General features: G+C 43.1%; 4 pseudogenes; 2 read left to right on the top strand and 2 right to left on the bottom strand.

The window, feature by feature from the left end:
* LINC00266-2P (long intergenic non-protein coding RNA 266-2, pseudogene) lies at positions 1,307 to 14,245 on the bottom strand (annotated as a pseudogene).
* On the top strand, positions 7,134 to 9,723 carry SEPTIN14P22 (septin 14 pseudogene 22; annotated as a pseudogene).
* On the top strand, positions 11,965 to 15,457 carry CICP2 (capicua transcriptional repressor pseudogene 2; annotated as a pseudogene).
* Positions 15,416 to 16,936, bottom strand: LINC00265-2P (long intergenic non-protein coding RNA 265-2, pseudogene; annotated as a pseudogene).

Genomic DNA, 18,998 nt, shown 5'->3' with positions numbered 1-18,998 from the left:
ATTGTACATACATGTTCTTAATTATATATAAATATATATGTACATATTTTTAATATAAAATACTAAACAAAGTACACCAAAATATTAGCTCCTATGTTAGTGAGATAATGTTTTTTTTTTGTATTTTAAGTTTTACATAGTAGGTGTATTTGTCTGTTTTCATACTGCTATAAAGAACTGCCCAAGACTGGGTAATTTATAAAGGAAAGAAGTTTAATTGGCTCACAGTTCAGTACAGCTTGGGAGGCCTCAGGAAATCCACAATCATGGCGGAAGACAAAGAGGAAGCAAGGTAGCTTCTTTGCAAGGCAGCATGAAGAAGTGCTGAGCAAAGGGGAAAGAATCCCTTATAAAATCATCAAATCTCGTGAGAACTCACTATCACAAGAACAGCACAGGGGAAACTGCCCCCATGATTCAATTACCTCCACCTGGTCTCTCCCTTGACATGTGGGGATTATGGGGGCTATGGGGATTACAATTCAAGATGAGATTCAGGTGGGGATACAAAGCCTAACCATATCAGTAGGCAAGTGTTGAATTTTAAACTCAGAGAAAAATACTAGTGTTTTTATAGGATTCTTACTAAAGAAAAACGAGAAAGTAATAAACCATCTATGCTAAGACATAAAATTCAGTTGTTTAGTTACAAGATAGAATGTGGCCTTGTAAGAAAGCAAATTAACTTCTAACATACAAAGCCTTAGAGAAGATTCAAGTGACTGACGGATCTTAAACAGAGCTATTATTACAACTCAAACTGCAGTAAAATATCCTAAGCAACATAGATGTGTGTGTTTCCCTAGTCAGAGCAATACAAATTTAATGAAACTCCATTGGTGGTGTTTTTAATCAGACAATTTCTGAAGATGTCCTGGCTTATTCATAGACGCAAGCCAAATCTCTAGAAGAGTACCATAATAAGAAAAAAAAAAGAATACAGGCAATTGAGAGCTGTTCCAAAGTTTAGGGAGTATTTGTAAGGAATTAATAAATAAAAATGTTCTTGAAAGAGAGAAATTAATATGCAGTTCATACTGCCAGAATTGCAGGCAATTTATCAAAGTCCCCTAATCCTCCAAAATCGCTAATTTTTTCTGACACACACTTTACAGTACAGAAGAAAATGTCTCCGGCAATAAATCACAAAGTTAAAATTACCTAGTCTACAATTAACTAGACAGTGATGGTAAATCATTTTCTACCAAAAGAAAGAAATGTCTTGTCTATTCAGGTTCTGCTCTACTTAAAAGTTTTCCTTGTTGGCGAGCAAGTGGTTAGAAAATCATATTTTATACTTACATTCAGCTTAACTATCATTCAGTTCAAGATGATGACTCAGGGCCTTATCCATACCTTCAAGTTTGCTCTTAGCAAGTAATTGTTTCAGTATCTATATCAAAAATGGCTTAAGCCTGCAACATGTTTCTGAATGATTAACAAGGTGATAGTCAGTTCTTCATTGAATCCTGGATGCTTTATTTTTCTTAATAAGAGGAATTCATATGGATCAGCTAGAAAAAAAATTAAGAGGAAAATCACATGGAAAGTTATTAAATATTATATATATATTATATATAATATTATATATTATATATCATTTCCAAATTCCCCAGCGTTCATGTTTGTCAGTGCAAGTAAAGAGCCTTAGTGCTGATTAGGTTTGAGGTATGACCATTTGGCCAGAATTTATGAACTCTACATGTCGCTTGATATGTGCTTCAGGGTACACTTTTTTTTTTTTTTTTTTTTTTTTTTTTGAGACGGAGTCTTGTTCTGTCACCCAGGCTGGAGTGCAGCAGTGCGATCTCAGCTCACCGCAAGCTCCGTCTCCCGGGTTCATGCCATTCTCCTGCCTCAGCCTCCTGAGTAGCTGGGACTACAGGTGCCCACCACTATGCCCTGCTAATTTTTTGTATTTTTAGTACAGACGGGGTTTCACCCTGTTAGCCAGGATGGTCTCTATCTCCTGATCTCGTGATCCACCCACCTCAGCCTCCCAAAGTGCTGGAATTACGGGCGTGAGCGACCACGCCCCGCCAGGGTACACTTTTAAGCAGAGACACTATTTTGAAGGTCATAAAAAATATAATAAGATATAAGGCTAATTTCCTTTAATAATAATAATAATAAATTCCTTTAATAAAAATACAAAGGAATAATATAATAATTTTCTTTAATAAAATATAATAAGAGATAAGGCTAATTTCCTTTAATAAAATATAGTAACTACATACCAACACAGAATTCCAAAAAAACGAAATGGAGAGGAAGACAGCATGGGTCATTAATCTTGTCAAAAATATAAAATTATATACGAGGAATTCCTAGAAACTGTTTTCCTTGTCTGCGGCCATTGTGCTGCTGCTAGACAACTACCGCAAGCAGCCCTTCATGCCCTCCTCCCAGTACAAAGCTAATTGATTTGTGAGAAATGTTAAGCTTGGAAGAGTCAGCAACGCTGCACTTATTTTTTATTCTACTCTGACATTAGAATAATTCTTGAGTGGGGGAAGGGTTAAAACCCCCCCTGGATAAGTGTTACTAATTAATGATGATTGTTTTAAACAATGTTTGGATAATTTTTCCTTTTCCCTTGACATAAACTTGATAAATAACTGAGAAGTGAGAAGGAGATTAGTGGGTTGATTAAATTCCATCAGGTACTTAAAGTTAGCTCCAAAAATTTAGCTATTTATAAATTGTCATACATTGTTAATGTATAAGAGATGTAGATTTCATTTATCTTTGGTGGAGCGAGATGAAGCAGTGAATCATTGAAGACTGAAAGAAAGAAAAAGGTCTTTTCCCTTTTCTTTAAGAAGCATCGTTAGTTAAAAATATGTTAGTTGATACCAGAGAACTATATTTAAAGGGTCAGCAATAAGCAAATTGATTACTCTGGTGATTATTGGAGTGACATTGCCTTTTAGTTGTACTTTCACAAAAATTCACAATATTTGCCAAAGTCAAGTTATCCATTACACTATTAATTTGTCATTCTTTTGTTTATATAGTCAATATCTCTATCTCAATTGGATCTATCTCAACTGCTTCTAAACAAGCCACCATAGTCTCTCCCATTTCAACAATCTCTTCCAAGTACCATTTCATTTCTTCTTTTCATATTTTTGAAAACTTTTGTAAAACTACCTATTTTCCTCCTCCATTTCTTGTTCATTCCATTCTAGTGGACATGGAATCTGTTCCTCCTCCAAAACGGAATTTGGTAACCTTTAAATTACTAAACCCAAAACAATATGTTGTTTTTATCTTTACCTCTCTGTGGCATTTAATGATAAGACCACTACTTTCTTCTCTTTTACCCTTCTTTCTTGAATTCAGTCAAACAATGTACTTACATTTTTCATCTTATTCTCCATCTTAGAAACCACCTCAGCTTTCTCCATTCAGCCATAAAATTGTGCTTTTCCTCAAAGATTAATCTGCCTCTCCTTTCACTCTATACTATCTCTGTTAGCTAATTTTATTTGTGCACATTGCTTATACTGGGCATTATATACACATATGCATGTGTGTACATGTGCACACACACACTGTATGTGGACATGTATATATATGTGTGTGTGTGTATATATATTATATATATAAATTACAATAACATAAAGGTGGCATTTTAAATTAGTGGAAATTACCCTGATTTGATCACTACACATTCTATACATGTAAAGAAATATCACTCTGTATCCCAAGAATATGTACAATTATGGTTTGTCAAGTGAAAAAGTTCATACCTTGAAAAATTTTAGATAAATATCAAACTTTCTCTGAAACCATAACTGTAAAATGTAAAAAACAGTAATTGCTATATTGCTTATTTCTGAGTAGAAGAATATGAGCATTTCCCTAATCATTAGGTGTAATTACAATTACATATATATGTATGTTATTTATATATTTATGACATACATACATATATATGTAATTGTAATTACACCTAATGATTAGGGAAATGTCTCATATTCTATATATATAGACAGAAAGAGAGAAAATACATGAGGTAGAGAAAGAATATTTCCATCTCCTTTGAGTTCCACGGTGTTGAGAGTCAGGACAACTACAATTGCTTCATCATGCCTGCTCGCAATTATAGGGCTTTTGAACCATTTGTTCCCTCCTTAGATATCCTCATTTTTTTCAGATTCTTGCTTAGAAGTCACTCCTCCGTGGACCTCCTCTGACATATTAAACATTGCAGTCCATTATAAGCTGCAAGAGGACAGGGATTTTTGCCTGTTTTATTCCCTACTGTATCACCAGGGGCTACAGCAATATCTGACAAACAGTGGGCATGTAATGAATATTTGTTAAGTGAAGTAATAAATTCAATCAAATCACATCACCTGTTTAAAGCACTTCATTGGCTTCACATTGCACTTAGAATAAAGAGAAATTCTTTTTATACAATATAAGTTCCTGCAGAATGGAGACACTTTCTACTTCTCCAGCCTCTTTTCAACTCCTCTCCTACTAGCTTCTGTATTTAAGCCACATTAGACCTTTCTTCAGTTTTTTATATAGACTTTGTTGCATCACACCTCAGAGATTCTGTACATGTTCTTCCTCCTGCCTAGAAAGGATCGTCCCTCCACTTTCGCCAACTAATCCCTGCTCAACTTTTCATCTCAGCAGGAGGCCCATTCTCTTTGGCAATACTCTGGCCTCCAGCCCATTTATTACATGCTCACATGTCATCATGTACTTCGTACAGCATGTAACACAATTGCACTTTTATATTTTAACAAATTATTTTCCCATATTGAACTGTAAGTCTCCTGAAAGGAGGAATTTTGTTCTTGCTCATCATCAACTTTTTCAACATCCAGTGCACCATTTAGAACTTAGATGTAGTCAATACAGGTTTGTGGAATGAAAGAGGAAAAGAAAGAATTAATATTCCTTTAAATTAGGATTGCAAAGATCGTATATAGAAAATTGGCTAAGTTGTGGTCCATTCATGTTTGCTCCCAATTAAGGAGCACAGCTATGAAAAGGAAGGCTTCAAATTAATAACCAATAGATTTTTTAAAAAAGAAAACTGGCCAGGTACTGTGGCTTATGTCTGTAATATCAGCATGTTGGGAGGCCAAGGCAGGATTACTTGAGCCCAGAAATTCCAGACCAGCCTGAGAATTTGGCAAAACTCTGTCTCTACAAAAAATACAAAAATTAGCCAAATTTGGTGGCATGTGCCTGTAGTACCAGCTACTTGGGAGGCTAGGTTGAAGAATAGCTTGAGTCTGGGAGGTCAAGGCTGCAATGAGCTGTGATCGCACCACTGCACTCAAGCCTGGGTGGTAGAGTAAGACCCTGTCTCAAAAAAAAAAAAAAAAAAAGAAAAATTACTAAGCAAAATAAGACATGTGAAGGATCATGTCAAAGGTAAGAAAAATTAGGGGAACATTAAAAGCTTTCTTCCCAAGCCACTAAATCAACTTGACTAACAAAATTACCACTTGATTTAGCATTAGAAAATTACATTACATATCAAACATAAACCCATTAATCAAATACTAAAGAAATTTCTGAGTTAAATGGTATAATGTTAGCTTATGCCGGAGCTGACCTTGAAAGATTGTTCAAATATGGCTCAGTGTGATTGAAAGTTCTGTGTGAATATGTTTTTGGAAAGATCCAATAGCAACATCTTAGTGTATGTTTTTGAAATAAAATGTATCTGAGTAGCAGCAAAGTTATTCTTAAATTTCCATTTTATAGCTGGAGATGTTATACCGTGACATATATGATAGGACCCAATATGGATTAATCCCTTTTAGAAGTCAATCAGGAAGAGAGGAGCAGTTAAAACAGTTGCTTCATTTACAAACATTAGAACAATTTTCTTATTCACACCATCTGATTATTGTATTTTATTTTTTCCCCAATGTTTATACTACACAATGAGTTAAGAATGATAAAAATAAGCTCACCAATATACTAGGTACATATTTACCAAAATCTGTGCATGCCTATACATATAAACACAGCTGATAATTTATTAGTTAGGCTCATTTGTAATTTTTGTCACTATAGACCAGTTTTTTATTTAAATTGAAGATTAGTATACATTTTAAATGATTAGTCAAAATAAAAAATCTAAAATGTGCTCTAAATACTTCTTAGGTCAGAAAAAAAAAAGTCAAAAGCTAGAATATAGAGAAATTAAGAAATGCCCTAAATTTCTAACCTGACAAAAATTCATACAAGAGTTAAATATTTTAATGGAAAATAGAACAGAACTAATCATGGAAGAAATTATAGAAAGGAAACAAAATAAACAGATTATATGGAGGATTTTTAGAAGATAAGTAAATAAATTAATATACTAGGAAAAAACAAGGGAAATATAATTGATAAATACAGGTAAGAGTTCTTTTGAAATAATGATAAAATAGAAAATCTCTGTCAAAACTAAAAGGAAAGATGCATAAATATATAAATAAATGATAAAAAGATGTTGCATACATATATGACTTTTTCAGAATCAAAAAAATTAAATTTCTGTAATAAAATTTAAATGTTTATAAATTTAAAAAACTAGAAGAAAGAATGTTGACTGTTCACAATACAAATAAATGACAAATATTTGAGGTGATGGATATGCTAATTATCCTTATTTGATCATTGGACATTGTATACATGTATCAAAATATCACTCTGTATCCCATGAATATGTACAATTATTTGTCTCAAAAACAAACAAAAAAAAAGATAATGGGAGAATGTTGAAAACTCAGAGAGAAGAGCAACTGTCACAGATAGGGATCCAGATAACATTAGCAGCTGATTTCTCAGCAGAAACCTTGAAGGCCAGTAGGCAGTGGATTATATATTTAAAATAATGAAGAAACCTGTCAATTGAGAAATCTATAGCTGGAAAACTTATCCTTCAAAAATGAAGGAGAAATTAAGACATTTCCGGATTTTTTTTTTAAACTGAAAAAAATCCATTTATCCCTGAATTTGCCATTCAAGAAGTGTTAAGTCCTTCAGGTTGAAATAAATGAACTCTAGGCAATAACTATATAAGTAAATAAGCAAGCTGTGTGAATATACAAAGCTCTCTGGTAAAGGTAAATACATAAACAAACATAAAAACAGTCCTATTGTTATTTTGGTTTGCAACTCTGCTTTTTATTTTCTACATAATTTAAAAGGCAAATGCATAAAATGTAATTGTAAATCTGTTAGCTGGTATACAATGAATAAAGATATAATTTGTTACATCAATAACATAAAAAGAGTAGAGCTATATATATAGCAGTCGAATTTTGGAATGCGATTGAACTTAAGTTGAAATAAATTCAAATTAAAATGTTATAACTCTAGGATGTAATTCTCATAGTAACCAAAAATGAAATATACATAGAATATAAACAAAAGGAAATGAGACTAGAAACAAAATGTGTCACTACAAAAAAATCAACTAAAGATAAAAAAGAAATAATTGAGAAAATGATTGGCAAAAATCAGTAACTCTGATGTATTAAAACTTTCCATGCTACATAAAACTGAAAACTCTATTTCACATAAAACTGGAGCTGAAAGAGACAAATATTTACCTATAAAGTTAAAAGTTATATAGGGAACAAACACTAATTTTTTTTAGAAAAAATTATAAAAAGAGTAAAAATATGCCTTATACTACCATAATTTCATGTTTTACAGCTCTGGGAAAATAGAAAATAAAATGTTCTGTTAGCATGAATCCCTCTGTGACCCCAAAAAACCCTATGGATTGCATCATTATTACCTAAAAAGTCTATTCTCAAATGCAGCAGAGTGATTTTTTTACAAGGTAGATATTAATTTTAGATATGGAATAATATTGGTGATTTCAATTTTATAACACTGGGTTAAGATGAAAGAATGAGAAGTTAAAGGTCCCTCAGCAATATAACCCACAAACATGTTCAGAAGCAGTAAGAAGTTACATTAATTATCTTTTGAAAGTCGATAATCTACATCTTTAATGTATGCATATAGCATAGCTAATGTACTATCACTGGGTCCATTTATTCAATGAATAATTGCTGCTATGTGTCAGACATTTTTCTAGGCCTAGGAATGGATACATAAGTGAACAAAGCAAAGATTCTGGTTCTTGTAGAGTTTCCATTAAAAGACCATTTAGTAAAACTTTTCTTCCCCCAAATTATAAAATCTGTAAGATGATTTAACAACATGTGTAAAAGTCATTGTGGGCCAGGCACGGTGGCTCATACCAGATGTGGTGACTCATAGCAGTCTGTCACCCAGGCTGGAGTGCAGTGGCACAATCTCTGCTCACTGCAACTTCTGCCTCCTGGGTACAAGCGATTCTCCTGCCTCAGCTTTCTGAGTAGCAAGGACTACAGGTGCACACCATCACGCCTGGCTAATTTTTGTACTATTAGTACAGACGGAGTTTCACCATGTTGGCCAGGCTGGTCTCGAACTCCTGACCTCAAATGATCCGCCCACCTCGACCTCCTAAAGTGCTGGAATTACAGATGTGAGCCACAATGCCTGGCCTTATTTTCTACAACTTTGGTAACTTTAGCATATACCCCAAATCTGTAAGACATAATATTATAATTCAAATGCAACTCATGGCTTCTCATTGTACTCTTTCTCTAGCTTTTGAATTATTTATTCTAATATCAGTTTTAATTCTGACACAATAGCATGGGAGTTCTAATCAAAATCCAACCTTTTATCATAAAAACTATGAAGAAATTATGAGTAGAATTTAAAAAGGAAAATAGGCCTATTAATTAGATTTGTCTTTGTAGCATTTAACTCTATAATAAATAATATTTTATGCCTATGAGTCCCCAACAAAGCCTCCAGCTTCTATTTAGATATAAAACGTAAAAGTCACTACTGGATCCACAAGCAAGACTATGGTAAAGAAATTTCTCCACCTAACCAGCTTCTTTTACATGATGTTACATGTTTCTTTTGTTTTTTTCATTTTGGCAAATATTGATTGTCATCTTCGTGTTTGTCTATGTCCTAAGTGCTGGGATACAGAATCTGAAAACATGGACACAGGACCTGCCTTCAAGTTCACCCTTTCTTTTTTTTTTTTTTTTTTTTTTTTTTTGAGATGGAGTTTTGCTCTTGTCACCCAGGCTGGAGTGTAATGGTGAGCTCTCTGCTCACTGCAACCTCCACCTCCAGGGTTCAAGTGATTCTCCTGCCTCAGCCTCCCAAGTAGCTGGGATTACAGGTCCCAGCCACCACGCCTAGCTAATTTTTGTATTTTTAGTAGAGACAGCGTTTCATCATGTTGGTCAGGCTGGTCTCGAACTCCTAACCTCAGGTAGTCGACCCACCTCGGCCTCCCACAGTGCTGAGATTACAGGCATGAGCCACCACGCCCTGCTAGGAGTTCACACTTTAGTTGGGGAAAATATACAATAAGCAAGCCAATTTTTAAAATGAGAACTGCAATTAGAGTTAAATGCTACAAAGACAATCTCACAGGAAGATGGGATGCAGAATGATAAGGCTTTCAGAATAGTAAGAGAAATTATTGTTTCTTACGATGTTTGTCTTTCTTTGTATCAGTGCTCAGCTGAGTCTGCAGTGCTTCAGAGGCAGCTTTCATTTTATAAAAATCTATGATTTCTCCTTCCAGTTGTTTTTTCTCTTCCTCGAGCTTCCTTATCTCCTCCTGCTGAATCATTTTAAGATGCTCGAACTTGTCCTGCAGCTGTGAAACCAATGTGCAGTTGTGACACCAAAGCAGTGTGGCTGAACACCCAAAAGAATATGCTTTTTTCTGATTATCAAACAAACCCAAATCATCACAGTAGAGCATGATCTTACTAATAATCTCAAAAACTCAGGAGTAAACACTCAGATATGGAATTTTTCTTTTCTTTCTTTTTTCCTTTTATAAGATGGAGTCTCACTCTGTTGCCCAGGCTGGAGTGCACTGGTGCGATCTCAGCTCACTGCAACCCCCATCTCCCAGTTCAAGTGATTCTCCTGCCTCAGCCTCTTGAGTAGCTGGGACTACAGGCATGCACCACCACTACAGGCGTGTGCCACCACACCTGGCTAATTTTTGTATTTTTAGTAGAAATGGGGTTTTGCCATGTTGGCCAGTCTGGTCTTGAACTCCTGACCTCAGGTGATCCTCCCACTTTGGCCTCCCAAAGACTTTTTTTCTTTTTTAATATAGAGACAAGTTCTCAGTATATTGTCCAGGCTGGTCTCAAACTCCTGAGCTCAAGTGATCCTCCCACCTCAGCTTCCCAAAGTGCTGGGACTGACTGGATGCAGTGGCTCATGCTTGTAAACTCAGCACTTTGGGAGGCCAAGGTGGGAGGATCGCTTGAGCCCAGGAGTTCAGGACCAGACTGGGTGATATAACACAATAGTAAACTTCAACAGGAGAGAGAATCTGTAAACTTGAATATAGATCTTCTGAAATTATCCAGTCAGAGGATAAAGAAAAAAAGAATAAAAAAGAGAAAAGAAGGCTGGGCATGGTGGCTCAAGCCTGTAATCCCAACACTTTGGTAGGCCAAGGCAGGCAGATTAAGAGGTCAGGAGTTCAAGACCAGCCTGGCCAACATGACAAAACCCCATCTCTACTAAAAATACAAAAATAAGCCGTGTGTGGTGGCACATACCTGTAGTCCCAGCTACTTGGGAGGCTGAGTCAGGAGAATCGCTTGAACCCAGGAGGCAGAGGTTGGAGTGCAATGTGAGCCAAGACCACACATTGCACTCCAGCCTGGGTGACAGAGCAAGACTCTGTCTCAAAAAAAAAAAAAAAGAAAAAAGAAAAAAGAAAATAAAAGAGACAGAGAAAAGAAAGCCCACAAGACACCATTAGGCAAACCATTGTCAGGTTATGGGAGTTTGAGAAGGAAAGTAGAGAAAGGACAAGAAAGCTTATTTAAAGAATGGCTGAAAACTGCCTAAATCATAGGAAAGATTTAGACATCTAAACCCATGAAGCTTAAAGATTCCTAAAGAGGTTCAAACCAAATAGATACTCACCAAGTCACAATATAATCAAATAGTCAAAAGTTAAAGAAACTTTGCAGGTCAGGACAGAATCGAATAATACATTCAAAGTGCTGAAAGAAAAAAACTGCCAGCAACTAATACTATGTCTGACAAAGCTGTCCTTCAGATAGAAAGAAGAAATAACATGTTTCCTCGACAAACAAAGCTGAGGGCATTCAGGACCACTAGGTCTACCTTAAAAAAAATGCTTAACGGAGTTTTTCAAGTAAAAATGAATGAAGTTAGGAGCGGTGGCTCATGCCTGTAATCCCATTTTGGGAGGCCGAGGTGGGTGGATCACCCGAGGTCAGGAGGTCAAGACCAGCCTGGCCAACATGGCAAAACCCCACCTCCAGTAAAAATACAACAAATCGCCAGGTATGAAGGCCACTGAGATCGTGCCACTGCACTCCAGCCTGGGTGACAAGAGTCAAACTACATTTCAAAAACAAAAAACAAAACAAACAAAAAAACAAAACTTGAGGTCTGTCCTTCTGCTCCTCTCCAACCCCCCCTTCTCTGGGCCCAAGCCACCTTGGCTGAGGAGGGGGCAAGGAGGTGTGGGCCCCTGCCAGGAACCCTGTGCCCAGACCAAGTACTCAGCCCCCAGGCCTGCGTTCAGTGAGGCCTCCCGTGGCGTCAGCATGTTCGTGTGGAGCAATGTGGAAGGTCATTCTGTGGCCATGTTCCCCTGGTACTCCATCCCCTTCCTGAACCCTCCCTGCAGCCACACGAGGCCCAGCAACCTGCCAGTCACTCAGTGGCCTCCAACCAGAGAAAACAACCTGCCAAGTTGGCAGCTGTTGCTCACGAGCATCCACCAGGTGGGACAGGGAGTGTTGACCCTGGGCGGCCCCCTGGAGCCACCTGCCCTGAAAGCCCAGGGCCCGCAACCCCACACACTTTGGGGGTGGTGGAACCTGGTAAAAGCTCATCTCCCACCATGGAGGAGGAGCCCTGGGCCCCTCAGGGGAGTCCCTGCTGGACAGTGAGACAGAGAATGACCATGATGATGCTTTCCTCTCCATCATGTCTCCTGACACCCAGTTGCCTCTACCACTCAGATGATGTCAGGCCCAGTTCCTCAGTGCCCTGCACAAGGAACAGGGCTCATCTTCTGAGAAGGATGGACGCAGCCCCAACAAATGGGACAAGGACCACATCCGGTGTCCCATGAGTGGCGGTCATGATCTTCAGCAAGCGGCACCAGGCCTGGCAGGGCACACCAGGGTCACCCCAACCAGGATAACTGGACCGTCAGCCAGATGCTGAGCAAGTGGTGGTACACCCTGGGGCCCAATGAGAGGCAGAAATACCATGAACTGGCCTTCCAGGTGAAGGTGGCCCACTTGCAATAAGGACTGAAAGAAGTTCAGCTCAGAGGCCAAGCCCACAAGCCAGGGGCTAGCAGGAGTGTAACAAAGGCTCGTGGGAGTGGAGCATGTCAGAGACTGGCACTGCCACTGCCCCTGGGGTGTCCTCTGAACTCCTGTCAGTTGCAGCCCAAACACTCCAGAGCTCGGATACCAAGGAGCAGCTTCTGTGGGGCAGAATGGCTGCACACAGTCAGGGAACCTGGCTCAGCCTGGCCCAAGCCTTCTCCCACAGGGGGGTACACAGCCTGGATGGCAGGGAAATAGACCATCAGGCACTACAGGAACTGACACAGGTGGTATCTGGCACTGCATCATACTCTGGCCCAAAGCCTTCTACTCAGTATGGAGCTCCAGGCCACTTTGCAGCCCCTGGTGAGGGAGGTGACCAGTGGGCAGCCCTGCTGCTGCCCACCTGAGCTGGTCATTCCCAGCACATGGCCAGTGAGGACATAGCGAGTGACAAGGAGCACACGGTCATCCATGAGGAATAGGGTGTGATGATGTCATTGCTGATGATGGCTTTAGCACCACTGACACTGATCTCAAGTTCAAGGAGTGGGTGACCGACTGAGAGTGGGGACAACTCTGGGGAGGAGCCAGAGGGCAACAAGGGCTTTAGTGGGAAGGTATTTGCACCTGTCATTCCTTCCTCCTTTACTCCTGCTGCCCCTTGCTGGATCCTGAGCCCCCAGGGTCCCCCGATCCACCTGCAGCTTTTGGCAAAGTCTATGGTCCCACCCTGTCCTCCTCCTACACATACTCGGATGCTTCCTCCTCAATCTTGGCACCCACCTCCTTCTTACTGGGCCCAGGAGCCTTCAAAGCCCAGGAGTCTGGTCAAGGCAGCAGAGCGGGCCCCCTACAGCCCCTACCCCTGGGGATGTGGACCCAGGGATGCCTTCCAAGGTGACCTGTTTCCTCCCAATGGATCCTTCCACCTTCTGGTGCAAGAGACCTGAAAGTGTGGGTGACCTGGAGCTACCAGGCTCCTCAGTCATCAGGGTCCCTCCCAACACTAAGGCTTTCCTAGGCAGGAGCTGGGCTGAGCCACCTGGGGGGCAGAGCCTGAAGAGAAACTGACTGGGCTTTTGGGGTCGGGGAAGAGGGAACCCCACAGACATGGATCCCACACTGGAGGACCCCACCACACCCAAATGCAAGATGAGAAGATGCTCCAGCTGCAGCCCAAAGCCCAACACCCCCAAGTGTGCCATGTGTGATGGGGACAGCTTCCCCTTTGCCTGTACAGTTGGAGAAGCCAAGGACAGGCTCAGGGAACTGGAGACCGAGTAGGCGCTGTCCTCTTCACTGCACGCGCCCTGGACCAGTGCCAGCCCTGATCATGCAGCATTTCCAGGCCCCCTTCTTCTTCCTGTCCACTAGGCCACAGCCGCCCTCCAGGCCCACTATGTACACATCTTCCCCTCCAAGGTTTGTTCTGCCCCTGCCCTGACTCCCAGCCCTGTGGGGGTCCTGACCACACCTCACCTGGCTCAGACTCTTGACGCTGCCCTGGCTGCCCCACCACTGCCTCTGCCTGAGAGTCACATGAGGCTGAGAGTAGGGGCAGGGGCAGCAGTGGTGCCAGTTGGGGGGTGGTCCAGTGGGAGGAGCCTCAGCCTTGTGGGCTGCTCCATGGGACTGATGACTGCATGATCTTCTGGGCACCTCATGGATCTTCAACTGCAGGTGAAACAGATGCTGGTGGTGGCTGCAGGGCCGCTGGGAGCTGCTGCATGGGTCCCAGAGGCTGGACTGGGGCAGGTGCCAACTGAAGCTGCTGGGGCAGCAAGGGCAGGATGTTCTGCACACAAACCTTGGAAAAGAAGGTGTGTGCATAGCGGGTCCACTGCTGCTGCCCCTGCCCTGACTCCCAGCCCTGCCTGACCCCACCTCACCCTGCTTAGGCTCTGGCGCAACCCTGGCTGCCCTGCCACTGCCTCTGCCCCAGAGTTGGGGCCTTGACAGCCTGGCTGGAAGGGGACACCCTAGCCTTGCCTCAACACCTGGGGGTCTCCATAACTACCACAGGCAGGTAGGCGACCCCAAAGAAGATCCCAGGACTCACAGTACAACCTGAGAACATGGACAGTATGTGGGGGTAGCAATGGAGGGCAAGATGGTTATCTTCTCCCAGGTAAAGAGATTTAATCCTTTCAGTTTGGGATGGAATAAGGCCTGTCTCTTTTTTTTTTTTTTTTTTTTTTTGAGACGGAGTCTTGCTCTGTCGCACAGGCTGGAGTGCAGTGGTGCGATCTTGGCTCACTGCAACCTCTTCCTGCCGGGTTCACGCCATTCTCCTGCCTCAGCCTTCCGGGTAGCTAGGGTTACAGGTGCACGCTACCACGTCTGGCTAATTTTTGTATTTTTAGTACAGACGGGGCTTCATCATCTTGGCCAGGCTGAGTTCGATCACCTTACATCATGAACTGCCTGCCTCCACCTCCCAAAGTGCTGGGATTACAGGCATGAGCCACCACGCCTGGCCAAGGCCTGCTCCTCTTATCTATACCCCCTACCCCTGCAGCTGTGCCAGGGGAAAGCTGGGCAGTTTCCCTCCTCCGAGCCCCTGTACATTCCATGAATTGTGGGACCTTCACAGCTTTTCACTTTTCAGAAAATAGTTCCTGCTGGGGCTACAAGATGGAGTGTGAAGAGGGCTTTGGGCCACAGGGAGGCGACTGTGGACTAGGGGGAGTTCATGCACCCCTTCTTTCCCCAGAGGGGCTGGACTCAGGTGAGTATGGGGGTGGGGGCTCCTGCACTTCGACACAGGCGGCAGGAGGGTTTTCTCCCCATTCCCTCTGCACTCCCAACTTGAGCTGTACTTTTTAAGAAAGTGATTCACCCTGCCTTTGCCCCCTTCCCCAGAACAGAACACGTTGATCATGGGCGATATTTTTCATTGTGCCAAAAAGTTGCCATGACCATCATTAAACCTGTTTAACACCAAATAATAAGGAAAATAAAATAAAAAATTCAGGCTTGGTGCAGAAACTCACTCCAAATAAATTACCTACCAAAATATTTATATAATGGTGGAAATATTCCAAAATTCCATATTTTGGGATTTATACACAAAAGATAAACAAATTAGAGGCCAAGAGGCTGCCGGAAGGGAAAAACGGGGCCTGGAAAGGCCGCTGTGAGGAATGAGCTGGGCCTAAAGAGGCCACTGGCAGGCAGGAGCTGGACCTGCTGAAGTGGCCGAAAGGCAGGAGCTTTGGACCGGGGAGGCCGCAGTGAGGCGAGAGCTAGCTGGGCTTGGAGAGTCCGCTGTGAGGCCAAGGCCGGGCCCGTGCAGGCCTTCAAGAGGCAGGAGGCCAGGCCTGCAAAGGCTGACTGGAGGTCAAGTTCGGGGCCTGAAGAGGCCGCCAAAAGTCAAAAGCAAGGCCTGGGAAGGCCGCCGAGAGCCATGAGCTGGGCTGGGCCAAAAGAGGCCACTGGGAGGCAGGAGGAGCTGGGCCTGGAGAGGCTGACTCGAGGAAGTTTTGCACCTGGAGAGGCCACCGAGAGGACGGAGCTGGGCCCAGGGAGGCTGACTTGCAGCTCTTCCAGGCCCACTTCCAGGCCGACTTGAGGAAGACTTGGGCCTGCAGAGGCAGCCAGGAGGCTGGAGCTGGTCCTGGAGAGGCCAACTTCGGGACGATTTGGGCCTTCAGAGGCTACCAGGAGGCCCAAGCTGGGCCTAGAGGAGCCCACCAACCGGAGGCTGTTTGGGGCCTGCAGATGCCATTGGAGGGTAGGAGCTGAGCCTGAAGAGGCCACCGTGAGGCCTGAGCTGGGCCTGGGGAGCTTGGCTTCGGAAAGTTGTGGGCCTACCAGGGCCCCTGGGAGCTGGGCAGGAGCTGAGTCCAAAGACGTTGTTGGGAGGCCGGAGTCGGGCCTGGAGACACAGCCGGGAGGAAGAGCTGGGCCCGGAGAGGATGCCAGGAGGCTGCAAGTGGGTCTGGAGAGGCTGACTTGAGGAGGCCCGTCCTCTGCCTCCCGCATGGCGGCCTCTGTAGGCCCAGCTGTTCCTCCTGGCTGCATCTCCCAGCCCAGCTCCTGCCTCCCAGCAAACAAGCTCTTTTGGCTCAGCTCCTGCCGGCCTTTGTAGACCCCGAAGTTTCTGCAACCAAGCTCTTCAGGCCCACATCCCACCTCCCAGAGGCTTGAACAGTCCCAGCTCCGGCTGGAGAAGAGCGTCTGCAGGCCCCACTGTTGCCTCCCAGGGGCGTCTCCAGGCCCAGCTCTCACCCCACTGTGGCCTCCCAGGCCCAAGTCCCTGCCTGCCTCCCAGCAGCCCGCATGTGACCCTGCTCCTCCCTCACGGTGGCCTGTTGAGGAAGGGGCTCACACTGACCTCTCTCAGTGTGGGAGGGGCCGGTGTGAGGCAAGGGCTCACGCTGACCTCTCTCAGTGTGGGAGGGGCCGGTGTGAGGCAAGGGGCTCCCGCTGACCTCTGTCAGCGTGGGAGGGGCCGGTGTGAGGCAAGGGGCTCCCGCTGACCTCTGTCAGTGTGGGAGGGGCCGATGTGAGGCAAGGGGCTCCCACTGACCTCTGTCATGCCACTGCACTCCAGCCTGGGTGACACAATGAGTCTCTGCATAAAAAAAAAAAAAAAAATTCCTGCCCTTATGACTTACTTACAGGAGACAGATAATAAACAAAACAAGTAAGTAAAATAAGTAGCATATCATATAGTGATAAGTAAAAGAAAAAGCAGGGCAGTGGGGTGGGGTGCAATGGTTTGTGCCTGTAATCCCAGCAATTTGGGAAGCTGAGGCAAGAGAATTGTTCCAACCCAGGAGTTTGAAACAAGCCAGGGCAACATAGTGAGTCGCCACCTCTACAAAAACATTTAAAAATTACCTGTGCATGGTGGTGCATGCCTGTAGTCCCAGCTACTCAGAAAGTTGAAGCAGGAAGATCACTTGAGCCCAGGAGTTCAAGGTTACAGTGAGCTATAATTGCACCACTGCATGCCAGCTTGGTGACAGAGTGAGACCCAGGATCAACACACACACACACACACACACACACACACACACACACACACACACACAGCCAACAACCAAAAAAAAAAAAGGGATGGGGACTAGGCTGACTGGGCTGGAAGGAATCACAATTTAAAATACAGTCGTCAGGAAAGACCTTACTGAGAAAGAGATAGTTAAGCAAAGACATGGAAACAGTAAGTTGTATCAGAATGTCATTAACCCTGACGCTCCAAGGGTTCGTGGGAGAGTGACGATTTTTGAAAAGTCATTGTGTCAGGACTCTTTTTGTTGTAAATGACAGGAAAATAGGCTCACCATGACTTCAGCAAGAAGGGGGAATGTATTAGTTCAAGGAATTGAAAAGTCCAGGTCAGGCTGGAGTCAGGGGTCAAACGACGTCATTGGGACACGACCTAGTTCATTGTGCATTTCTGCTTTTTCTGTGGTGGTTTATTTTCTAGTTCCATATGGAGGTAGAATGGCTATCAGCAACCCCAGGCCAACATCCTGCAGAGTTCAAACCTAGAATGGAAGAGAGAGTGCCTCTTTACCATCAGGCCAAGCAAAAGACTCAGTGCACCTTATTGGGTCACAGGCTCATCTGGGCTCATCTGAACACTTGACTATGATCGGGAACATATGGTTCTGAACGGCTGGGCTCAGTCACCTGCCTAACCCTGGAGTCACAGGGAGAGTTAACATACTGACAGTAGTGGAAGGTGGGGCCCCAAGGAAATATGGGGTGTTGACTGCAGAGTAGAGAAAGCAGCAAGTATACATGATATCACTGATCTAAAAATAATTTCTTTTATGATATTGCATAAATTGTTGATGCAGTTTGCTCCATGCCCAAAGGGTGGTTAATAACAGATTACAGATTTCTCCCTAAGAGACAATCTACAGACAGCGTAAGCTCCTTCAGTGGGAGTCCTAGACTGGGGTCCCCTGTCACTACACAGGACATGTGAGCAGCACATTCACAAGCTCTCAGAGCTTCAAGGGTGGCTGGATGTTTGGTTTTATACTGTGACCTCTTGTGCTTCCTCCGTGGGCTTTAGTGGGCCACATCACAAGTGCCTGACATCTCCAGTGTCAGAAGCTCAAGGCTTTTAGAGTCTTGTTCCACTTAGGCTGACCTGTTACCTATGGGGCCTGACAACATTCTAGAGACATGGTCCTAAATTCTGAAAACCTAGTCCACTACTTGAGTAAAATCTTGGTGTTTTTCTAGGAAACTGCGTTTTCACGCTTTGATGTTAGACAGCCCTGGGGCTAGATTTTGACTATCACTTACCTGCTGGGGGACTCTGAACAAGTCATGTGACTGACTTCTTGAGTCTCAGGTTTAATATTTGCATAATGAGGTCATTAAAATGAGTAAATAAATGACCAAGTATAAAGAATCTAGTAACAGCCCGGCATACAGTGGGAGCTCAGAAAATTTGTTTCATTTTTTTCCACTTCCCTGCTCCCTTTTTCCATGAGGCCATTACCAGGCTTCCCTGGAGTCCATGTTATGCAACTTGAAGATAAACCTGTCAAATAAAAAGGAAAGGAATGAAAGGGATGGGTAAATGAACCCTGGGGCAGAGCTGGGGGATGTGTAGTT

The sequence above is a fragment of the Homo sapiens genome, chromosome Y (assembly GCF_000001405.40).
Source record: "Homo sapiens chromosome Y, GRCh38.p14 Primary Assembly".
NCBI classification, from domain to species: domain Eukaryota; kingdom Metazoa; phylum Chordata; class Mammalia; order Primates; family Hominidae; genus Homo; species Homo sapiens.
The sequence above is the reverse complement of the archived record's forward strand: the minus strand, read 5'-3'. Positions and strand labels throughout refer to the sequence as shown.